Source organism: Homo sapiens, chromosome 3 (assembly GCF_000001405.40).
Source record: "Homo sapiens chromosome 3, GRCh38.p14 Primary Assembly".
NCBI classification, from domain to species: Eukaryota; Metazoa; Chordata; class Mammalia; order Primates; family Hominidae; genus Homo; species Homo sapiens.
In genome coordinates, this window is record NC_000003.12 from 125,477,942 (window position 1) to 125,497,207 (window position 19,266).

General features: G+C 39.0%; 1 protein-coding gene across 3 annotated transcripts in view; it reads right to left on the reverse strand.

Annotated features, from left to right (window-relative positions):
* SNX4 (sorting nexin 4) overlaps positions 1-19,266 on the reverse strand; it is a 73,553-nt gene that overhangs the window by 31,292 nt on the left and 22,995 nt on the right. For all 3 annotated transcript variants that reach the window (NR_073435.2, NM_003794.4, XM_017007414.3), the window contains 2 exons: positions 11,467-11,522; positions 2,306-2,378 (listed from right to left, as the gene is read on the reverse strand). Coding sequence is in view for 2 of the 3 variants with exons in the window: in NM_003794.4 (NP_003785.1) it covers positions 2,306-2,378; positions 11,467-11,522 (129 nt within the window). In the remaining variant the exon portion in view is untranslated. The remainder of the gene's footprint in view (positions 1-2,305; positions 2,379-11,466; positions 11,523-19,266) is intronic.

Sequence of the window (19,266 nt, forward strand, 5' to 3'; positions counted from 1 at the left end):
ACCAGCTTTCAGGACAAAGTTCATAGTCCTACTCCTACTTGAAACTCTTACAGGTTGTCCCCAGACCTCTAAACTAATTTCTCTAGGATGTCATTTCCTCCTCCTCCTTCTTCTTCTTCTTATTATTATTACTATTATTATTATTATTATTATTTTGAGACGGAGTCTCACTCTGTCTCCCAGGCTAAAGTACAGTGGCACGATCTCAGCTCACTGCAATCTCTGCCTCTTGGGTTCAAGCGATTATCCCACCTCAGCCTCCCGAGTAGTGGGGATTACAGGCATGCACCACCACGCCCAGCTAGTTTTTGTATTTTTAGTAAAGACCATGCTGGTCAGGCTGGTCTCAAACTCCTGACCTCAAATGATCTGCCCACCTTGGCCTCCCAAAGTGCTGGGATTACAGGTACGAGCCACTGTGCCTGGCCCCCAAGTATTTTTTGAGCAGTCTGTGCAGTGTTGAATGTTTTTCTTTTCTTTTTTTTTTTTAAGTGGTTCCATCATCAAGTAAGGTTGGGAAACACTGAGACAATAAAATTTAACAGTTTTTTTTCTGTAGGACCTTTTAGACCTTTAACACCACATATGAATCATGACTGCTCAAGGGAGATACGGTTTGCAGTAGGGAACATCTTACAGGGTTAGCATTCCAGAGAATATATGATGGAAAATGTCATTCTAACACTAACTTTTCTAGATCCCTGTACTTTTAGATACCAAACCTCCTTCCTAAAAGCTGAGCATTCATCCTCTACTAAGATATTAAGCATGGAAGAAAAGAGAAGTTGCTGAAAAACCACTTAAGAAAAAAAAAAAACTAGAAGCAATGTGAGGGTACGATGCAGACTCTCTGAATGTTTGTCCCCCATCTGCACCTCCCACGAGAACTATTGCCTAATTTGTCTGGGTAATTTCTAGGCAACCAAAGGTCCACAAATTTTATCTCATTAATCCACAGTCCTTTCTAATACCCAGTTCTTGACTCTAGCCTAATAATTCTCGCAGGTAACTTTTATGAGAAGGTATCTTATAATTTATTCAAAGAGTCCAACGATACTCTTGAACAGTTAAACGGGAGATCAAGACAATATAAGACCTTCAGAAGAATTTTTTCCTTTATTGTATTTTTTCTGTACTGTCATGGAAATCTTGAAACATACAAAAAGCATATAGAACAGAAGGATATACCTCCATTTCTCAACACCCAGCTTCAGTAATTACTATATAGCCAAACTCATTTCTCCTAAAACTGCCCCCACTCTCCACTGCTCATCGGTGGACTCTTATTAAAACAAATTCCAGGCAATATATTTCATTTCAAGAGGATTCTGGCCAGGCATGGTGACTCATGACTATAATCCCAGCTCTTTGGGAGGCTGAGGTGGGCAGATCACTTGGGGCCAGGAGGAGTTCGAGACCAGCCTCGTTAACATGGTGAAACCCCATCTCTACTAAAAATAAAGATTAGCCAGGCATGGTGCTGCATGCCTGTAATCCCAGCTACTCAGGAGGCTGAGGCAGGAGAACTGCTTGAACCCGGGAGGTGGAGGTTGCAGTGAGCTGAGATTGTGCCACTGCACTCCAGCCTGGGTGACAGAGCGAGACTCCATCTCAAAATAATAATAATAATAATAATAATAACAACAAAGAGGATTCCAGATTCCAATCAGCATAAAATGTGACCTTACCTGGTATCCTAGTCTCTTTCAATGCCTTTGGCACAGGCATGTTCTAAGGTTCCTTCTAGGTTGCCACAAGAGACCAGAGCGGATGGTACATTTTCCAGGTACATTAATTTACTGAGAAGTATTTCCCTCTTTGCCTATTACAGCTGAACTATATGGTTAAGTATAATTATTATTCCTTGATTTCTAGTCCCTTTTGTCATGGCAGACTATTATCTGAAATTAGTTTATTTGGTAGAATTTAAGAGCACAGACACAGGATGGCCTAACACCTATAAACTATTTCACGGACCTTTAAAAAAAACATGAAAGAATATGATGTGTAGATCTAAAATCCTACACTTATTTACATTCCAGCACTGAAATGGCAGGCCTTTTGATAACATCCAAAACAACTATTCTATTACAAACCATGGAGAGAAAACAGGCTAAGTGAGTTGTTTATGACAGAAACCATTGCACATTTTTTTAAAAAGTGCAGTTTGGATGATGAACATATAAATTCAAATGCAAAAATCAGTTATTCATGGTAAATACCACCTACTACTTGAAAACAGAATGATTACATGAGAAGCACTTCCTTATGCATGTGCATCAAAAAGCTTTTGGGGACCACTTACAGCTCTGACTCGAAGAAGATGTGAGATGACAGACTGCAGTTCATCACTATAGTGCTTAAGGTCAGTAAATCTCCTGAAACAGGAAACAAATAAAACATCGTTTTTCAAATGAAAACAAGCAGTCAAAAACTGAAAGAAAAAAACAGTAGTTCCCGACAATAACAAAACTGATTCTATTTAACCATATGCTGGCCTTAAACATTTACACACCAATATAAATCCAAAAAACTCTAAAATAAAATGATATTTTCTGTTGATATTTTGAAAGTCAAGATATCACACTTCATAATTTACCTCGTGGAACTGAGATAGGTAAAAAAAATCTGTTGGTATGAAAAACTACTTTGAAAATACAAAACAGGAAAAACTTTAAGGAGCTAAAAGATACATTATGGTGCAATCATAAACTCATGGTCTCTAACCTCAATCTTAATTCTGCTCAAGTAATTTGCTTCCCTCATCTATTAACTGCCATTTTCCATAAGGACCAAAAACTTCTGATGCACCATCTGTCATTCTCCAAACAACCAAGCTTCACAGATAAACAAAAACCATCAGATGGGAACGACTCCCACCTCTACCTCCTGCCAATCAACTTACACACTTCCCCATATCTACATCATTTTTTCCCTCCCACTAGGATTTCTTCCCATCTAACGCTCTAGATTCCATTCCAGCTACACCCCATATTCCTGTTTCCTGACTTCCTATCTCTATAAACTTCTTCTCATCAGCATATCAATTAACTCAGGTCTCTCATAGATTAAAATACACACTCCCTTGACAACACACCCAGCTATTAACACCCTGTCAATATCCACCCCTTTTATAGCCAAGCTTTCACAAGGCATCACTTCCCCAGCAATAACCACTTCTTCCATTCCCATATACTGCACAGCCTATGAGAATCTAGCTTCTGCCTCCAGCACTATATAGTAGGGAAATATTCCTGACAAAGTCACCAACTATTTTCATGTTGTAATATCCAGTGATCAATCTTAGTTCTCCTCTTACTTGATCCTTTTGGCAATGCAACAGCTGACATCATCCTCCTCCTCAAAAATCTGTTTCCTTGTCAGTATTATTTTCTCATGGCTTTCATTTCACTCTCTGGTCACTCCTGAAGCTTCTTTTGTAGTACTCACTTCCTTCACCCATCTCTTATATCTCCAACTGTAGTCTGCAAAAAATTCCTGAAATCTTTTTTTTTTTTTTTTTTGAGACAGAGTTTCACTCTTGTTGCCCAGACTGGAGTGCAATGGCGCAATCTTGGCTCACCACAACCTCCGCCTCCCGAGTTCAAGCAGTTTTCCCGCCTTAGCCTCCCGAGTATCTGGGATTATAGGCATGTACCACCACACCCGTCTCTCTTTAGTAGAGACAGGGTTTCTCCATGTTGGTCAGGCTGGTCTTGAACTCCCAACCTCAGGTGATCGCCTGCCTTGGCCTCCCAAAGTGCTGGGATTACAAGCGTGAGCCACCATGCCTGGTCGAAATGTTTCTTAAAAACACTACTGATGGTCTCTCAGAGGGATGTGAATACATCAAGGTCCTCGTGGGACTCAGGAATCTGAATCTGAATTTTATAGCTCATCCACAGGATTCACATGCTGGTAGTCCTCAGGTTATACTTTATTTTTCTTTCCTTCTTTTTTTTTTAAAGGCCCAGTACTGTGTCACCCAGGTTGGAATGCAGTGGCTTGATCCTAGCTCACTGCAGCCCTTGATCCACCTGCCTCAGCCTCCCAAACAGCTGAGACTACATATGGGCATCACCATGCCCAGCTGACCTCAGGTAGTTATACTTTGAAAACATCCTTAAAGTGCTGGCTTTCTTCAAGGTTCAGTCCTGGGTCCTCAGCTATCTTCCAATCAGTCTTTCAATCTATACATTCCTATGTGACTTGTCATTCACAAAGCTTCACGATTATGATCTACATATTGCTAAATTCCAAATTTCTACCATCAGCCCAAATCTCTCTTAACTCCAGATCTATAAAACCAACTGATTTAGTAGACATTTGTACTTGCTTCCATAGCCAAAGCTCAACCTATCTTCCACTACTCCTCAAATCTTTCCCTTGTGCTCCCTTGCACTCTAAAGAATGAAAACCTGAGTGCATCTGTATTTCCTTCTCCTCTCCTTCACCTCATACATTCCACTAATTGCCCAGTCTGTTGATTCTACCTCCTAAACATTGCCCCAATCCACTCACTTTTCTCTGGTCTCTCTGCCAATGCCCTAAATTCAGATTAGCATCATCATCTCTCACCAGTCCTCCTGACTGGCCTCCTAGCCCACTCCCACACTCCTCTAATCTACTGTCCACTCTGCTTGGATGATCTTCCAAAGTCCAAATCTATACCACCCCCTTGCTTTTAAGCAGCTTTCTACTGCAAAGGTTATCCGCTGATCCTGAGACAAAGTTCAAACTCTGTAATGTGGCTTAAAAAACTTTTCACAGTCCCCAAGTATTCAGTTACTGTGGTTCATTGAAATAAAGAGGCAGTGGTGAAGTTGAGGACATCAAATCACTAGATAAAATACTTAACCACTCTTACTCCCCCAGGGCAGTGTTTTTCAGCAAGGAAAATAATTTAGGGATAAAAGAGTTGGCAAGATTGGCTCCCAATTAAGTAGAGTACAAATCTCCCTTTATATCCAAGATGGAAGGTGGAAAATGTACACTTGCATTTGTAGGATAAAACTTTGAAGGAATATAAACCTAAAAACTAACATGGTGTTACTCTCTGGGGAGGGGAAATGGATAGAGAGGAACAGGAATGAGACTTTTCACTGTACAACTTTTCCGTACTTATCAATCTACATATATATCTGGTTAACCATAAGAATATATTATGTACTCCAAAACATTTAAATAAAATTAAATTTATATATAAATATATATAAATATGTATTTTATATAAATATATAAAATCTCAGATAACTGTGAGCGGCTTTCTTTACGTAGAGCCAGTTACAACTGAGCTGGTACAATTTTCCCTTAGAAGTTTTATGATTTGAACTTAAGTTTCAAGAGGCTAATACTTTGTTAAACTCTGATCAGATCTTCCTGTGCTGGGTCCCAGGAGCTAGAAATTCTAAAGATCAGGTCTTCTGGAGCTTCTCCAGAACTGATTAGGTCCCCTAAAAATGTTTCTTTGTCAGCTTCCATACTCAGGATCTGGCATGACTACAAAATTCTTAGCTGTCATATTTGGATATGAGAAATGTATAAGAATATAAACAGTAAGCCTCAGAATACTTAAATTAGGTGAAGCAGAGGTTTCTGGAGTTGAAAGGTCTTAACACCTTTGGTCACAGAACATAAAAGGCACACTAAAGTTTCTCTGTTTGATTAACACATTGGTACAATCTCTTGTGAGGGGAGAGGAGTGACAACACAAATCATCCCCAGGTGATCACATCACCAGAAAGTCAGAGCTAAAAGATTCTAAACACCTAGGGGACAGAGACAGATGTGCACCTTTGAAAAAAATCACAATTACTGGGAAATCAGAAGACCTAAAGGTGAAGAGTGAAAAATTCATCAAGTCTTAGATAACAATGTATGTTTAAGAAATAAAGGAATGAATTTTCTGAAAACGAGGGTATAACTTCTTAGCCCAAGTCAAAATCTAGAATGTCTGCATATTAAAATGAGGAATCTTATCATAAATGATTAGGTGTTCTTAGAGAAATATTAAAGACTAAAAATCATATATAACGTCAGAATGTTGCAGTTTCACTTGAAAACAGGGAGTTTAAAAAGAGGACAGTCCATACTAGGAAGATGGTGACATAAAACTTCCCTCCTGAAATACTATCTATCTAAAATCCCTGTCTTAGAGACATGCAAAAGTGAACGTGTAAATGCAGACTCTGATAAGACTCTAGTTTGAGGTTGTCTATATCCAAACCCAATATGTCCTATGGCCTGAATCAGCCATATTTTCTATTCTCCTCAAAGTACACCTATTGCCATTACAGGCTTTATGCTTCCCTTTATTTTCCATATTCTTTTTGAGAAGGGGTCTAGTTCTATCACCCAGCCTGGAGTGCAGTGGCACGATCTTGGCTCACTGCAACCTCTGCCCCTTGAGTTCAAGTGATTCTCCCATTTCAGCCTCCCGAGTATCTGGGATTACAGGTATGTGCCACCACACCTGGTTAATTTTTATACTTTTAGTAGAGACGGGGTTTCACCATGTTGGCCAGGCTGCCCTCGAACTTCTGACCTCAAGTGATCTGCCCACCTTGGCCTCTCAAAGTGCTGGAATTACAGGTGTGAGCTACCATGTCTGGCCTTATTCTCCATATTCTTTAACATACTTTTAGTAAGTAAGCCTGGACAGGTGCCTCTCCTAATCAGATGTCATCCATTTCTCAAGACTCATGTTGAAAAGACCCTCCATCAAGGCTTTTTGAGAATGCTTCTCTCCAATCTTAAAGGCAAAAACATGGCTAGGTGCAGTGGCTCACATATGTAATCCCAGCACTTTGGGAGGCCAAGGTGGGAGGATCACTTGAGACCAGCCTGAGCTGGTGAGACCCTGTTTCTGCAAAAAGTACAAAAAATTAGCCAGGCCGGGTGGATCACCTGAAGTCAGGAGTGCGAGACCAGCCTGGCCAACATGGTGAAACCCCGTCTTTACTAAAAATACAAAAATTAGCTGGGCGTGGTGGTGGGCGCCTGTAATCCCAGCTACTTGGGAGGCTGAGGCAGAGAGAATTGCTTGAACCCGGGAGGCGGAGGTTGCAGTGAGCCAAGGTCACGCCACTGCACTCCAGCTTGGCGAGAGTGAGACTCCATCTCCAAAAAAAAACAAAAACAAAAACAAAAAACCAGCCAGCCAGGCTTGATGGCACTTGCCTATAGTCCCAGTTACATGGGAGGCTGAGATGGGAGGATCATTTGAGCCTGGGAGGTCGAGGCTGCAGTGAGCTGAGATCACACCACTGCACCCCAGCCTGGGTAACAGAGCAAGACTTTGTCTCAAAAACAACAAAGGCAAAAACACAGCTTGGGGTATAACTTATCTATTTTATATGGCTTTCCTTTTTTTTTTAGACAGAGTCTCACTCTGCCACCCAGGCTGAAGTGCACTGGCACAATCTCGACTCACTGCAGCCTCCACCTTCCTGGTTCAAGTTATTCTCGTGCCTCAGCCCCCCAAGTAGCTGGGATTACAGGCATGTGCCACCATGCCTGGCTAATTTTTGTAGTTTTGGTAGAGACAGGGTTTCACTATGTTGGCCAGGCTGGTCTTGAACTCCTGGCCTCAAGTGATCCGCCTGCCTTGGCCTCCCAAAGTGCTGGGATTAGAGACATGAGCCACCGTGCCCGGCCTTATTTGGAGTTCATATTTGCATACGGCTGTAGTTTTCTCTACCTAGCTATTATACTGAAAATAAATCAAGCCATACAGATTGTCTTATGCTTCTTTACAACTTGTGCAACTATTACCTAAGATAAAGCCCTGAAAGAAAAGAAACTGTAGTCTGAGTGACTGTGAGAAATCATAAATGACAGTCCACTCCCCACCCTCCTCTTCTTCTAGTTTCTACACTTTGGTTCTTGCCTCCCTATCTGTAAGCATTCTGTTTTTTTGAGACGGAGTCTTGCTCTGTTGCCCAGACTGGAGTGCAATGGCGCGATCTTGGCTCACTGCAACCTCCGCCTCCCGGGTTCAAGCAATTCTCCTGCCTCAGCCTCCTGAGTAGCTGGGATTACAGGTGTGCCCCACCACACCCAACTGATTTTTGTATTTTTAGTAGAGACGGGATTTCACCATGTTGGCCAGGTGGGTCTCGAGCTCCTGACCTCGTGATCCACCCACCTCGGCCTCCCAAAATGCTGGGATTACAGGCGTAAGCCACCGCACCTGGCCTCTGTAAGCATTCTTAATACGATGTACCTCGAGCTCCTTGAAGAAAACTCACTATATAGATTTTTCTCTATCCATACTTCCTGCCCCAAACTCAGCATAACAAAATGATATAACCTGATATTTAGAAGCTCGAGGAATAACCTCAACGTATCACAACCTCAATTATCTAACTGGTTTTCTTTTAAAAGAAAAAAACTATCACTTTACGTATAAGTTAAGTTACATAGATTTTTTTTTTTCAGCCAAGAAAAACTGGCCACATTAGATGAAACTTCTACTATGCAATGTAGCACAGTACATGAGTGGTTAGTATTGTTTATTTCTACTAGGGACAGGAGATTGCCGGGCGTGGTGGCGGGTGCCTATAGTCCCAGCTACTCAGGAGGCTGAGGCAGGAGAATGGCGTGAATCTGGGAGGCGGAGCTTGCAGTGAGCTGAGATAGCAGCACTGCACTCCAGCCTGGGCAACACAGAGAGACTCCGTCTCAAAAAAAGAGAGTACGTTACTTATATAATCTGGTCAGTTTACCACCTAGATTTTGACTTAGTGGGTTTAGTTTATTTGCAACAATATAAGATGCTCAATAAATGGAGATAGACCTTGGGCACATCTCTTTTAAGAAAAATATACAAGCCAGGCACAGTGGCATCCACATGTAGTTCCAGCTATTCTAGAGGCTGAGGCGGAGGATTGTTGAGCCCAGCAGTTCCAGACCAGCCTGAGCAACACAGTGAGACTGCATCTCAAAAATATATATATATGTGTGTGTATACATATATATGTATATGCAATCCAATATGCAAAAGAAAGCATTTACAGAGTACCTAAGGCCACATAAAAGTAGAAGACTCCAGGCCCTCCCACTCACTTGCTCTTAACAGTCTAGTTTGAGGAAAGATAAACATGAATGAAGCGAGTACTAGAAGAATCACTTTGTAATCCCTCTAAAACAATCTTTCTGGTTTTCTGAATTTTAGGAAATAACAAAACTATTTTAGTAATATATTTTAATAATATAAAAAATCTATTGTAACAGCTAGATCTAGAAGAGATTCTACATATTAAGAATCTGATATAACAATGACCAATATACACAATTATCCAGAATTTAAGACAAACAAATCCTGTTACTAATTACACAGCAATTATACACTTTAGCAAGAACATAAGGGCAAAAAAACTGCCTTGGTGACATTATTGGTCATATTAAACTTAAAATTCTACACACAATATGGATAGTAAATAAAATTCAGCAGTTCAGAAAACCTGGCTGGGTCAGAAAAGGGAGGAAAAACATTCAATTGACAAAATATTTTTCATTCAACTGAAAAATACTAATTGACAAAATACTAGTATTAATCAAAAATATTATCAAAATATCAATCAAAAACGATTCTCTAATGGATGTACAGCCACCAAAGTCATACACTTAGCTTACTAAGTTTTCCAGAGCTTTTTTTGAGGGTGACTTATAATTTTAGTTCTTAATCTAGAGAACACCTCTTATATACCATGCATGTTAGTATAATACTTATAAAAACCTCAATGGAACCATAGATGCAAATTAAGTGAAAGAAGCCAATCTCAATGTTGACATACTGTATATGATGTGACATTCCAAAAAAAAAAAACAAAACTATAGCGATAATAAAAAGATCAGTGATTCCCAGGGGTTGAGGGAGGAGATGAACAGGTGCAGTAGAGAGGATTTTTAGGACAGTAATACTATTCTGTATAAAATGATAATGGTGGATACACGTCATTATCCATTTGTCCAAACTCAAAAACTGCCCAACACCAAGTGTGAACCCTAACATAAATGATGGTCTTTGCTGATAATGCTGTTTCAATGTAGGTTCATCAACTGTAACAAACACAGCTCTCTGGTGTGGGATGCTGATAGTTAGGGAGGCTGTGACAGGTCAATGGGGAGGGGTGTGGAGAGAAGGTATTTGGGAATTCTCTGTATACTCCACTCAATTTTGCTAACTCTACTAAACCTGTAACTGCTGTAAAAAAAAAAATAGTCTATTAAAAAAAAAAAAAAAAAAAAAGGCCAGGCATGGTGGCTCACACCTGTAATCCCAGAACTTTGGGAGGCCAAGGCGGGTGGATTGCTTGAAGTCAGGAGTTTGAGACCAGCCTGGCTAACACGGCAAAACCCCATCTCTACTAAAATACGAAAATTAACTGGGCGTTGTAGGGGGTGCCTATAATCCTAGCTACTCGGGAGGCGGAGGCAGGAGAATTGATTGAACCCGGGAGGCAGAGGTTGCAGTGAGCAGGGATCACGCCACTACACTCCAGCCTGGGCGACAGAGCAAGTCTCTGCCTCAAAAAATAAAAAAATGAAAATGAAAAAACTCAAGTTACCATCACAACCTCCTAATTACCAAAATTTAAAAATATTCATTTAGATTTTATATTCAAAATTTATATGAAAAATCAGGGGCATTTTGTTAATATGTTATGGTTTATAAAGTCAGGCATAATAGGTCATCAGAATATGCAGACCCCACCTTTGTCTGATAAGAATTTACACAATGTAGAAATTAGTGCTGAAGGATTCACTAGAGAAATTCTAACAGATCTCATAAATTTGGTCCTCCAAAACAAAAAAGCCTCATCTGCCTAAGCACATATCCAATTAAAAAACTCTAACTGAACCAAATTGCCAAGTAAAGGTCCATATAATGTAGAGTTTGAATTATCCACCAAATTTAAAGATTAAGCAAAACCAAAATCTTAAATACATAGGTCCCACCCCATGTTAAGTAATTTCTGAATACACTGGCTTCTTTTAATATGGAAATGCTCTCACAAATACTAGCTGATATTAATAAAATCAAGTATTTGTCATATACCTTCGTGAAATTTTCTTGGTATACAAACTAGACGGTTCATTATTAAGTATATGTAAAAAGTATATAATTTTCTTATCTTGAGCTGTGCATATTTAACAAGCAAAATCATATAAGGAAAACTATAAAATTAAAATTACTTTTCTCATTTTTCTGATATCTGCAACACTTAACAAACCCTTCTAGAAAAAAGCAATGGTTTAATTTTATAAAACTTCAGTCACAATCATACCCCCAATCAAGTTATCAAATTTCAAATTCAGTTTTAGACTTTAAAAGGATTTCACTAAATGTGAATATGTAAACTATTTAGCAAATAAAGTGCATACATTCAGAAATGAAAAATTAAATAGATTGATAGCACCATTCAAAACAACATTGTAACTGTTATTAAAACAAAACCTTACTTGTCTGGGTTTTTCACTCTGAATGTTGCATTAAGCGCTTTTAACCTGGAGTCTGCCTGGAAAAAATAATTTGTTCACTTAATACAATTACATTTCAGGGTATAAAATTCAAACAATTTTACTTTCCCTTTAGAATTAAGATGCTCAAGTACAGTTTTCTTCATATCAATTGTTGTAAACACATTAAACATGCCTAAAAAAATAGCTTAGTAATTATTTTTGAAAACACTACAAAAACATACTATAAAATAGACTGAATACATGGCATTCAATGGTACCAAAGTAAAACAACTGTACACACCAACCAATACACGAACAGGCATATAGCTCTGCATTATTAGAATTCGGAAGAGGTCATGTGAAAACAGTAGTTTTTCTCTAGGCCAAGAAAGGCAATGATACGTATATATAAACTAAATGCAACTACTGCTTTCATGGCCGGGCACAGTGGCTCATGCCTGTGATCCCAGCACTTTGGAAGGCCGAGACAGGAGGATCACTTGAGGTCAGGAGTTTGAGACCAGCCTGGCCAACATGATGAAACCCCCATCTCTACTAAAAATACAAAAAAATTAACTGGGTGTGATGGCGCGTGCCTGTAATACCAGCTACTCGGGAGTCTGAGGCAGGAGAGTCGCTTGAACCTGGGAGGCGGAGGTTGCAGTGAATTGAGATCATGCCACTGCACTCCAGCCTGGACGACAGAGAGAGACTCCATCTCAAAAAAGAAACTACTGCTTTAGAGTCTGCATCTACTGAGGGTAGTTCCAAAGCAAATGTACATTGGTTTTTCTCATTTTCATAATCTATATTTTAGAAGAAAGAATATAGAAACACATGTACTAGGCCGGGCGCGGTGGCTCACGCTTGTAATCCCAGCACTTTGGGAGGCCGAGGCAGGCGGAGCACGAGGTCAGGAGATCGAGACCACGGTGAAACGCTGTCTCTACTAAAAATACAAAAAATTAGCCAGGCGTGGTGGCGCGTGCCTGTAGTCCCAGCTACTCCGGAGAGGCTGAGGCAGGAGAATGGCGTGAACCCGGGAGGCGGAGCTTGCAGTGAGCCGAGATCGTGCCACGGCACTCCAGCCTGGGCGACAGAGTGAGACTCTGTCTCCAAAAAAAAAAAAAAAAAAAAAGAAATACATGTACTAAGTAACACTCTACTAAATAAAACAAGCTAGATTACAGCAATTACTTTCTAGCTAGCAGAAAATGTTGTAAGACAACACAACTTTTTAACTATTTTCTTCACTTATTTCTAGATAATTACTCTCAAAGAAGAAACTGAGGGATAAATACTAAATAATAATTTCACTGCATAAAATGTATACGTAACACATCCAAATCCTGTCCTGTCCTAAATTCTCATTAAAAAAACAAAAAAAAAAAGACAACCAAACAACTTTTCTAACCAAGGTAGAAGAACTATTAGGGTTCATAAAAGGTAGCTCAATCAGGAATCAATTTCTAAATGTGGTCTGGTTTTTAAAATCCCACCTTGAAAATTTTACACTATTACAACTTCCGAACCATAATTACAAATACTGTTAATGAATAAACAAACAAAACAAAAATATTACTAAGGCTTCCCAGGTTACTTGGCTAAGAAAATAAAAACAAATATAACAAATATACTACTCACAAGTTCAGCCTCCTAGAACTCCAGACCAAAAGAGATTTAAAGGGCTATCTAAAGAATATCTAAAGTAGTTTATTTTGATTTTAGGGAATTCTCTTATGGAATTCTCCTATTTCTAAAATCAGTATTTCACAAATTCTGGATCCTTCTTACATCTCAAGGAAAAATTAGCTAATATACATCAAAGTCCTTATAAATAAAAACACCTATGAATTTAAGGTATACATTAAAAATCACTAAAAACCAAAGGCTCTTGTAAGTGTTCATGACTTCAGTCACATGCAAAATGTGATTCTTTAAATGAGGATGAAACTACATAAAACACTAAGAAAAAAATATTCATTTGTATCTTTTCTTGAATCTCATGCTTTTTAACACCAGCAATTTATTTTTTACTTTTAAAGTCACCAATTTACCAATTTTTTAAAAGTCATATAAATGTAAAGGGTCACCATTCTAACCTTTGCTAACCAAATGTTTTGTCAGATCAGGTCCATCTCCACACCCAACTCAATCTGCTCATTTCACAAGATTACATAAAAAAGAGGAAGCTGACTAAAATGTCACCAAACCGCTGGATCTCTGAAAAACTACCTGGACTGTTCCAAATCTGATAGGTTATCGCCCACCTAATCAGATTCCCCATTCAACACCTAAAGATGCCCCTTAATTCATTATTGTTTCCTATGATCCTATTTTACTTCCTTTAAAACAGCATTATCTGAAATCATCTTGTTCACTTGATTCTTGGCTGTCCGTTAAGAATATAAGAGCCATAAGCCGGGCACGGTGGCTTATGCCTGTAATCCCAGCACTTTGGGAGGCTGAGGCGGGTGGATCACGAGGTCAGGAGTTTTAAACCAGCCTGGCCAATATGGCGAAACCCTGTCTCTACTAAAAATATAAAAAATTAGCCAGGTGTGGTGGCACATGCCTGTAATCCCAGCTACTCAGGAGGCTGAGGCAGGAGAATCGCTTGAACCCGTGAGGCAGAGTTTGCAGTGAGCCGAGATCGCGCCACCGCACTCCAGCCTGGGTGACAGAGAAAGACTCCATCTCAAAAAAAAAAAAAAAAAAAAAAAAAAGAATATAAGAGCCATAAAAAGGCACAGTGTGAAGGTGGCCCTTGGACTGTACAAAGGCTGCTGTGGCAACACTTTTACCTGCTTTATCTTCCCGCACACATTACCTAGTAAAGCACACCCAGTCTGGGCCTCCCTCTGAAGGAGCATTCCTCTTCCTTGGCCTCTGGTGACTTCACTGCAGGTTTCTTATCATCACTAATGTCTCAGCTCAAATGTAAGCTTTTTAAAGGAGGGTGACCATGTGGCCTGGTTTGCCCAGGAGAGTCCTGGTTTATAACTGTTGTCCTAATCTTTTTTTTTTTCAAGACAGAGTCTTGCTCCGTCACCCAGGCTGGAACACAACATGTGGTCCCCATCTTAAATGTCCCTATTTCCTCTCTAAAGGGGTCCCATTTGGATAATAAACTTTATGGTCACTCATCTTAGGGTAACCCCTGAAAAATAATCCCTGCTGTCATATTCCCCAACAAGGACGATGCTTTATGTCCTTTATACTACTTATCACTATTTTAAAGTATCTTATTTTTTATTTAAATGCTAACTTAATGTCTCCAATCACTAAAATATAAGCTCCACAATAACACAGAGTTTATGAGTATTTCCAGCTCATTCACTACTGTATCCACAACGCTTAGAAGAGTACCTCACACTGTAGGCACCAGCATTTGGAATCTCCACATTGGATCTCTCAGAGTTCCTGTGCAATAACAAGATTAACAGAGATCCTAACTAAGGGCCCAGACCTTGGCTCTGGTAGTCCTTGCCCCAAGGAAGAGGCAGGGTCCAGGGTTCTTATGAATCAGCCTAAATTCATTTAAGGATTGGGTATTCAGAACAATGCTTTCATGACTAACTATGTTAACTGAGTTAAAACGTTACTTTTATACTAAAGCAACTAGTTTGTATGTTCATTACTCTAGGGATAAACCCTTTGCTCTTCTTTCACTGAATTAAGTAAAATGAGTATTTATATTTTGTGTATGTATTTATTTTTAAATAGAAACAGAGTCTTGCTATGTTACCCAGTCTGGTCTCAAACTCCTGGGCTAAAGTGATCCTCCTGCCTCAGCTTCCCAAGTAGCTAGAACTATAGGAACATGCCACCAAGCCCAGATTGAGTATTTATATAAATATTCCACCCCCCTAAAAAGGAGAAATGTCAATAACCAGTAATGATGAAAAAACTGGTTGCTCATGCTTATGTTAAATAGAACACAGATAAAAAGAAACTAAACTTTGGCCAGGCGTGGTGGCTCACACCTGTAATCCCAGCACTTTGGGAGGCTGAGGCAGATGGATCACGAGGTCAAGAGATCAAGACCATCCTGGCTAACACGGTGAAACCCTATCTCTACTAAAAATACAGAAAAATTACCCGGGCATGGTGGTGGGCGCCTGTAGTCTCAACTACTCGGGAGGCTGAGGTGGGAGAATGGCTTGAGCTGGGGAGGTGGAGCTTGCAGTGAACCGAGATCACACCACGGCACTCCAGCCTAAGTGACAGAGCGAGACTCCGTGTCAAAAAAAAAAAAAAGAAAGAAAAAAAGAAACTAAATTTTATGATTATCTTTCTGGGTGTAATAATCACTCTCAAAAATCTTACGAAAATATTGCCAGCCAGGCAACAGTGGCTCACGCCTGTAATCCCAGCACTTTGGGAGGCTGAGGCGGGCAGATCACAAGGTCAGGAGATCGAGACCATCCTGGCTAACATGGTGAAACCCCGTCTCTACTAAAAAATACAAAACAAAAAATTAGTCAGGCATGGTGGTGAGCGCCTGTAGTCCCAGCTACTCAGGAGGCTGAGGCAGGAGAATGGCGTGAACCCGGAAGGCGGAGCTTGTAGTGAGCAGAGATTGCACCACTGCACTCCAGCCGGGGCGACAGAGCAAGACTCCATCTCAAAAAAAAAAAAAAGAAAATATTAATCTAGTACGCCAAAACTACAGACAAAATATGTCTGAGAAAAGGAAAATTAAAGTAAGATAACATTTCAATTTGAGGACAACAATCCAAGAGCCAAGGTCAAATATTCTTATAAGATATGACTATTTGGTCTCATTCAGAATGACCTCATGTTCACAGAAATAAAGCTTTCAACACTTCCTTTAACAACCATCTCTGCAAATATTAATTATATAATTAATAAGCAAGAGAGGTAATATGGGATGGTAATTAAGGAGGGCTTTCAGTTAGTCTAGACTTGGATTCAGCCTCTATCACTTGTAATTATGTGACCTTGGCTAAGTCACATTCTAGAGTTCCTCATCTAAAAAATGGGAATATTAACTCACCTCAAAGGTACTGAGGCAATATTGAGCAAAATAAACATAGTATAATTATAGTATAGTGCTTAGCACATAGTAAGCATATATGATTATGGTAATACTCAGATAAGAAACTGTTTTAGATTCTAAAAAAAGTTTTCTTCTTTTTTACCGTTTTTGACAATCTTTCTCAAATTATCTTCCTGAAAATAGTTTTCTTTATCGCCTTATAGCAACAGTTGTCAAGTTTTAGGCTAATGGGATGTACGTCTGGGATGAATTCAGTATTTTGAACAAACAATCCCATCAACTGAGTTACATGCAGTCCGCTGACCACATACTGAATTAAGAGTGCACAAGCAAAATTCTACTTTTTCTTGAGGCCTCCAGTTAACCATTACAAACAATTAATACTGAACTCATCTATGATACAGTGAAGTCCTAGGGGTTACAGGTGGGTAGGGATTTTGCCTCACGCCAAATGTACCCATTCTGCGATGTGTGACTCACATACCACTGCTACCTCCTTTTCCGCTATCAGGCTCAGCTGTCAATTGTCACTACTGTCACAATGTGCCTGTCTCCACTCACTTTTTAATCCTCTGCTAAAATAGGCTGTAACCTAAAAAACAGCAAAATTTGTCTGAATACCTATAATAAAATTAATGGGTCTGCTACAGGAAGACCAAAGTATAGTAGTAAAGTATAGCAGGAAGCCATGTTACATCCCCTTGAACATCTCAGAAGTCAGTTTTGCTTAAGTCCCAGCTTTCAACTGTGATCAGATTAGCTGTAACTGCCAAACATATGACCTCCAGATAAGTGAAATGTGATACACTCATTCTCTCTTTATATATATATATATATATATATATATACACATACACACACACACACGTATGTTATTTACATATGATTGTGGACATTTGTATGATGTACACATGTATATGAGGCTATGCAAAAAGGTCCCATTTCCCTGATGGGAGGAAGGACTTAAAACAAGAAACATCCACAACAAAATAAGGAATACAGAGAGACACATGGGTTTCCGAATTCTCTCCATCAATTTTATTTCTGGCTCACTACATTAGAAGTCTGATGTTTTGAATTATTAATTCTGTATACTGATATTACCTTTCAAATACTTTTCAAAAGTACAATACATAAGGCTCCCCCACAATGAAACATTCTATCTAAATACTTAAGCAGCACCTACACATAAGATTCAAGGCACTGGTAAATAGCAATTTTATAATGATGGAGAAACTCCAGAGTTTTCTCAGAATCACTAAAGTTACGGCCAAAAACTGTATTCAAAGACAAAAACTGATAACTATTAACTGCAGTAAAGACTTAATGACTAGAATTTTTAAATTTTTTGTTATATAAAGAGAATTCACTAAAATGATTGTATTTTAATCTTTTCCTTGTTAGCTTTTAACATATCAAACTATTTTTCAGAAAACTCTATCTAAACATAAATCGGTTTTTAAACTTCCAAGTTATTTCAGATCCATCCCTAAACTCAAATTCTACCATTCTCTCTGAGTGTTATAAAGTGATGAATTACAGCCAAGAAAATTCTAATTGTTTCAGTAGAACTGTCAACTAAATATTTATAGCTAGGCACAGTAAAACTAGCACTTCGGGAGGCTGAGGAGAGAGAATCGATTGAGCCCAGGAGTTCGAAACTAGCCTGGGCAACATAGTGAGACCTCATCTCTACAAAAGAAAAATTTTAAAATTAGCTAGGTATGGTGGCACGCGCCTGTAGTCTCAGCTACTTGGGAGGCTGAGGCAGGCGGATCGCTTGAGTCCAGGAGTTCAAGGCTGCAGTGAGCCATGATCACACCACTGCACTCTGGCCTGGGTGACAGAGCAAGACTCTGTCTCAAAATCATAAAAACTCCAAAATATTTATAAATTAGAATCAGTTTATGACAGAACTGGTTTATCATATTTTCTCTGCAGAAAAAAATTTTCCTCCTTCTAGTCTGTTTTGTGCCAAATTTCAAATATCTATGGGCCAATGCATGGGAAGTGTTTTTTAAATTACTGTAAAAAAATTTTCTTCTTCTTGTCTAGACATATTATATTGAACTTTTGGTACTGTATTATCATGTGAGTCATTGAACAATTTATATTATGTTATATATCAATTTATATTCTGTTAGTCTACTTACCTATTCAGTTTACACCAGAGATGAAAACTTTAAAAAGTTTGTAATAACCTTTGTTGTATTTCTTTTAGGGAAGAAATAAACAGCAGCATAGAACTCAAGTGTCCAGCTTACCACTACTAATGCTCCTTGATTTTCAGATCATCATCTCATTCCCAAACACTAATTCTAATGACTAAATTTAAAAAGCTGTTACAAAAACTAAATAATCCTGTACCACTAACAGATAAAACTTAGAACTATTTAAAAATGACTCCTTTGTCCCCATTTCAAACTGACCACCATGTCTCAACAGACAGAAGAAGCATGACTAAGGGCTTATCTTTTAGACTGCTAAGGTTGGACTCTTTCATATGTGATAGAGTGAGCAACTGTCGGGGGCAGGGATACGAATGGAAACAGGACAGAAGAAAAAAAGAGGCAAGGTATAATACTAGTACACTGGGGAAAATCTACAACTTGTATTTAAATTACTGCTTCATTACTATAAACACTAACTAAAAAAAAAAAAAAAAAATTCACTGTTACAAAATGTTCTTTCCCTGTAGAATAAATTTGCCCATTATAGTCTCATAAGTAACTAAAATTACACAAATCAAAAGTGAATTGTAGTGTTTCTTTGAAAAC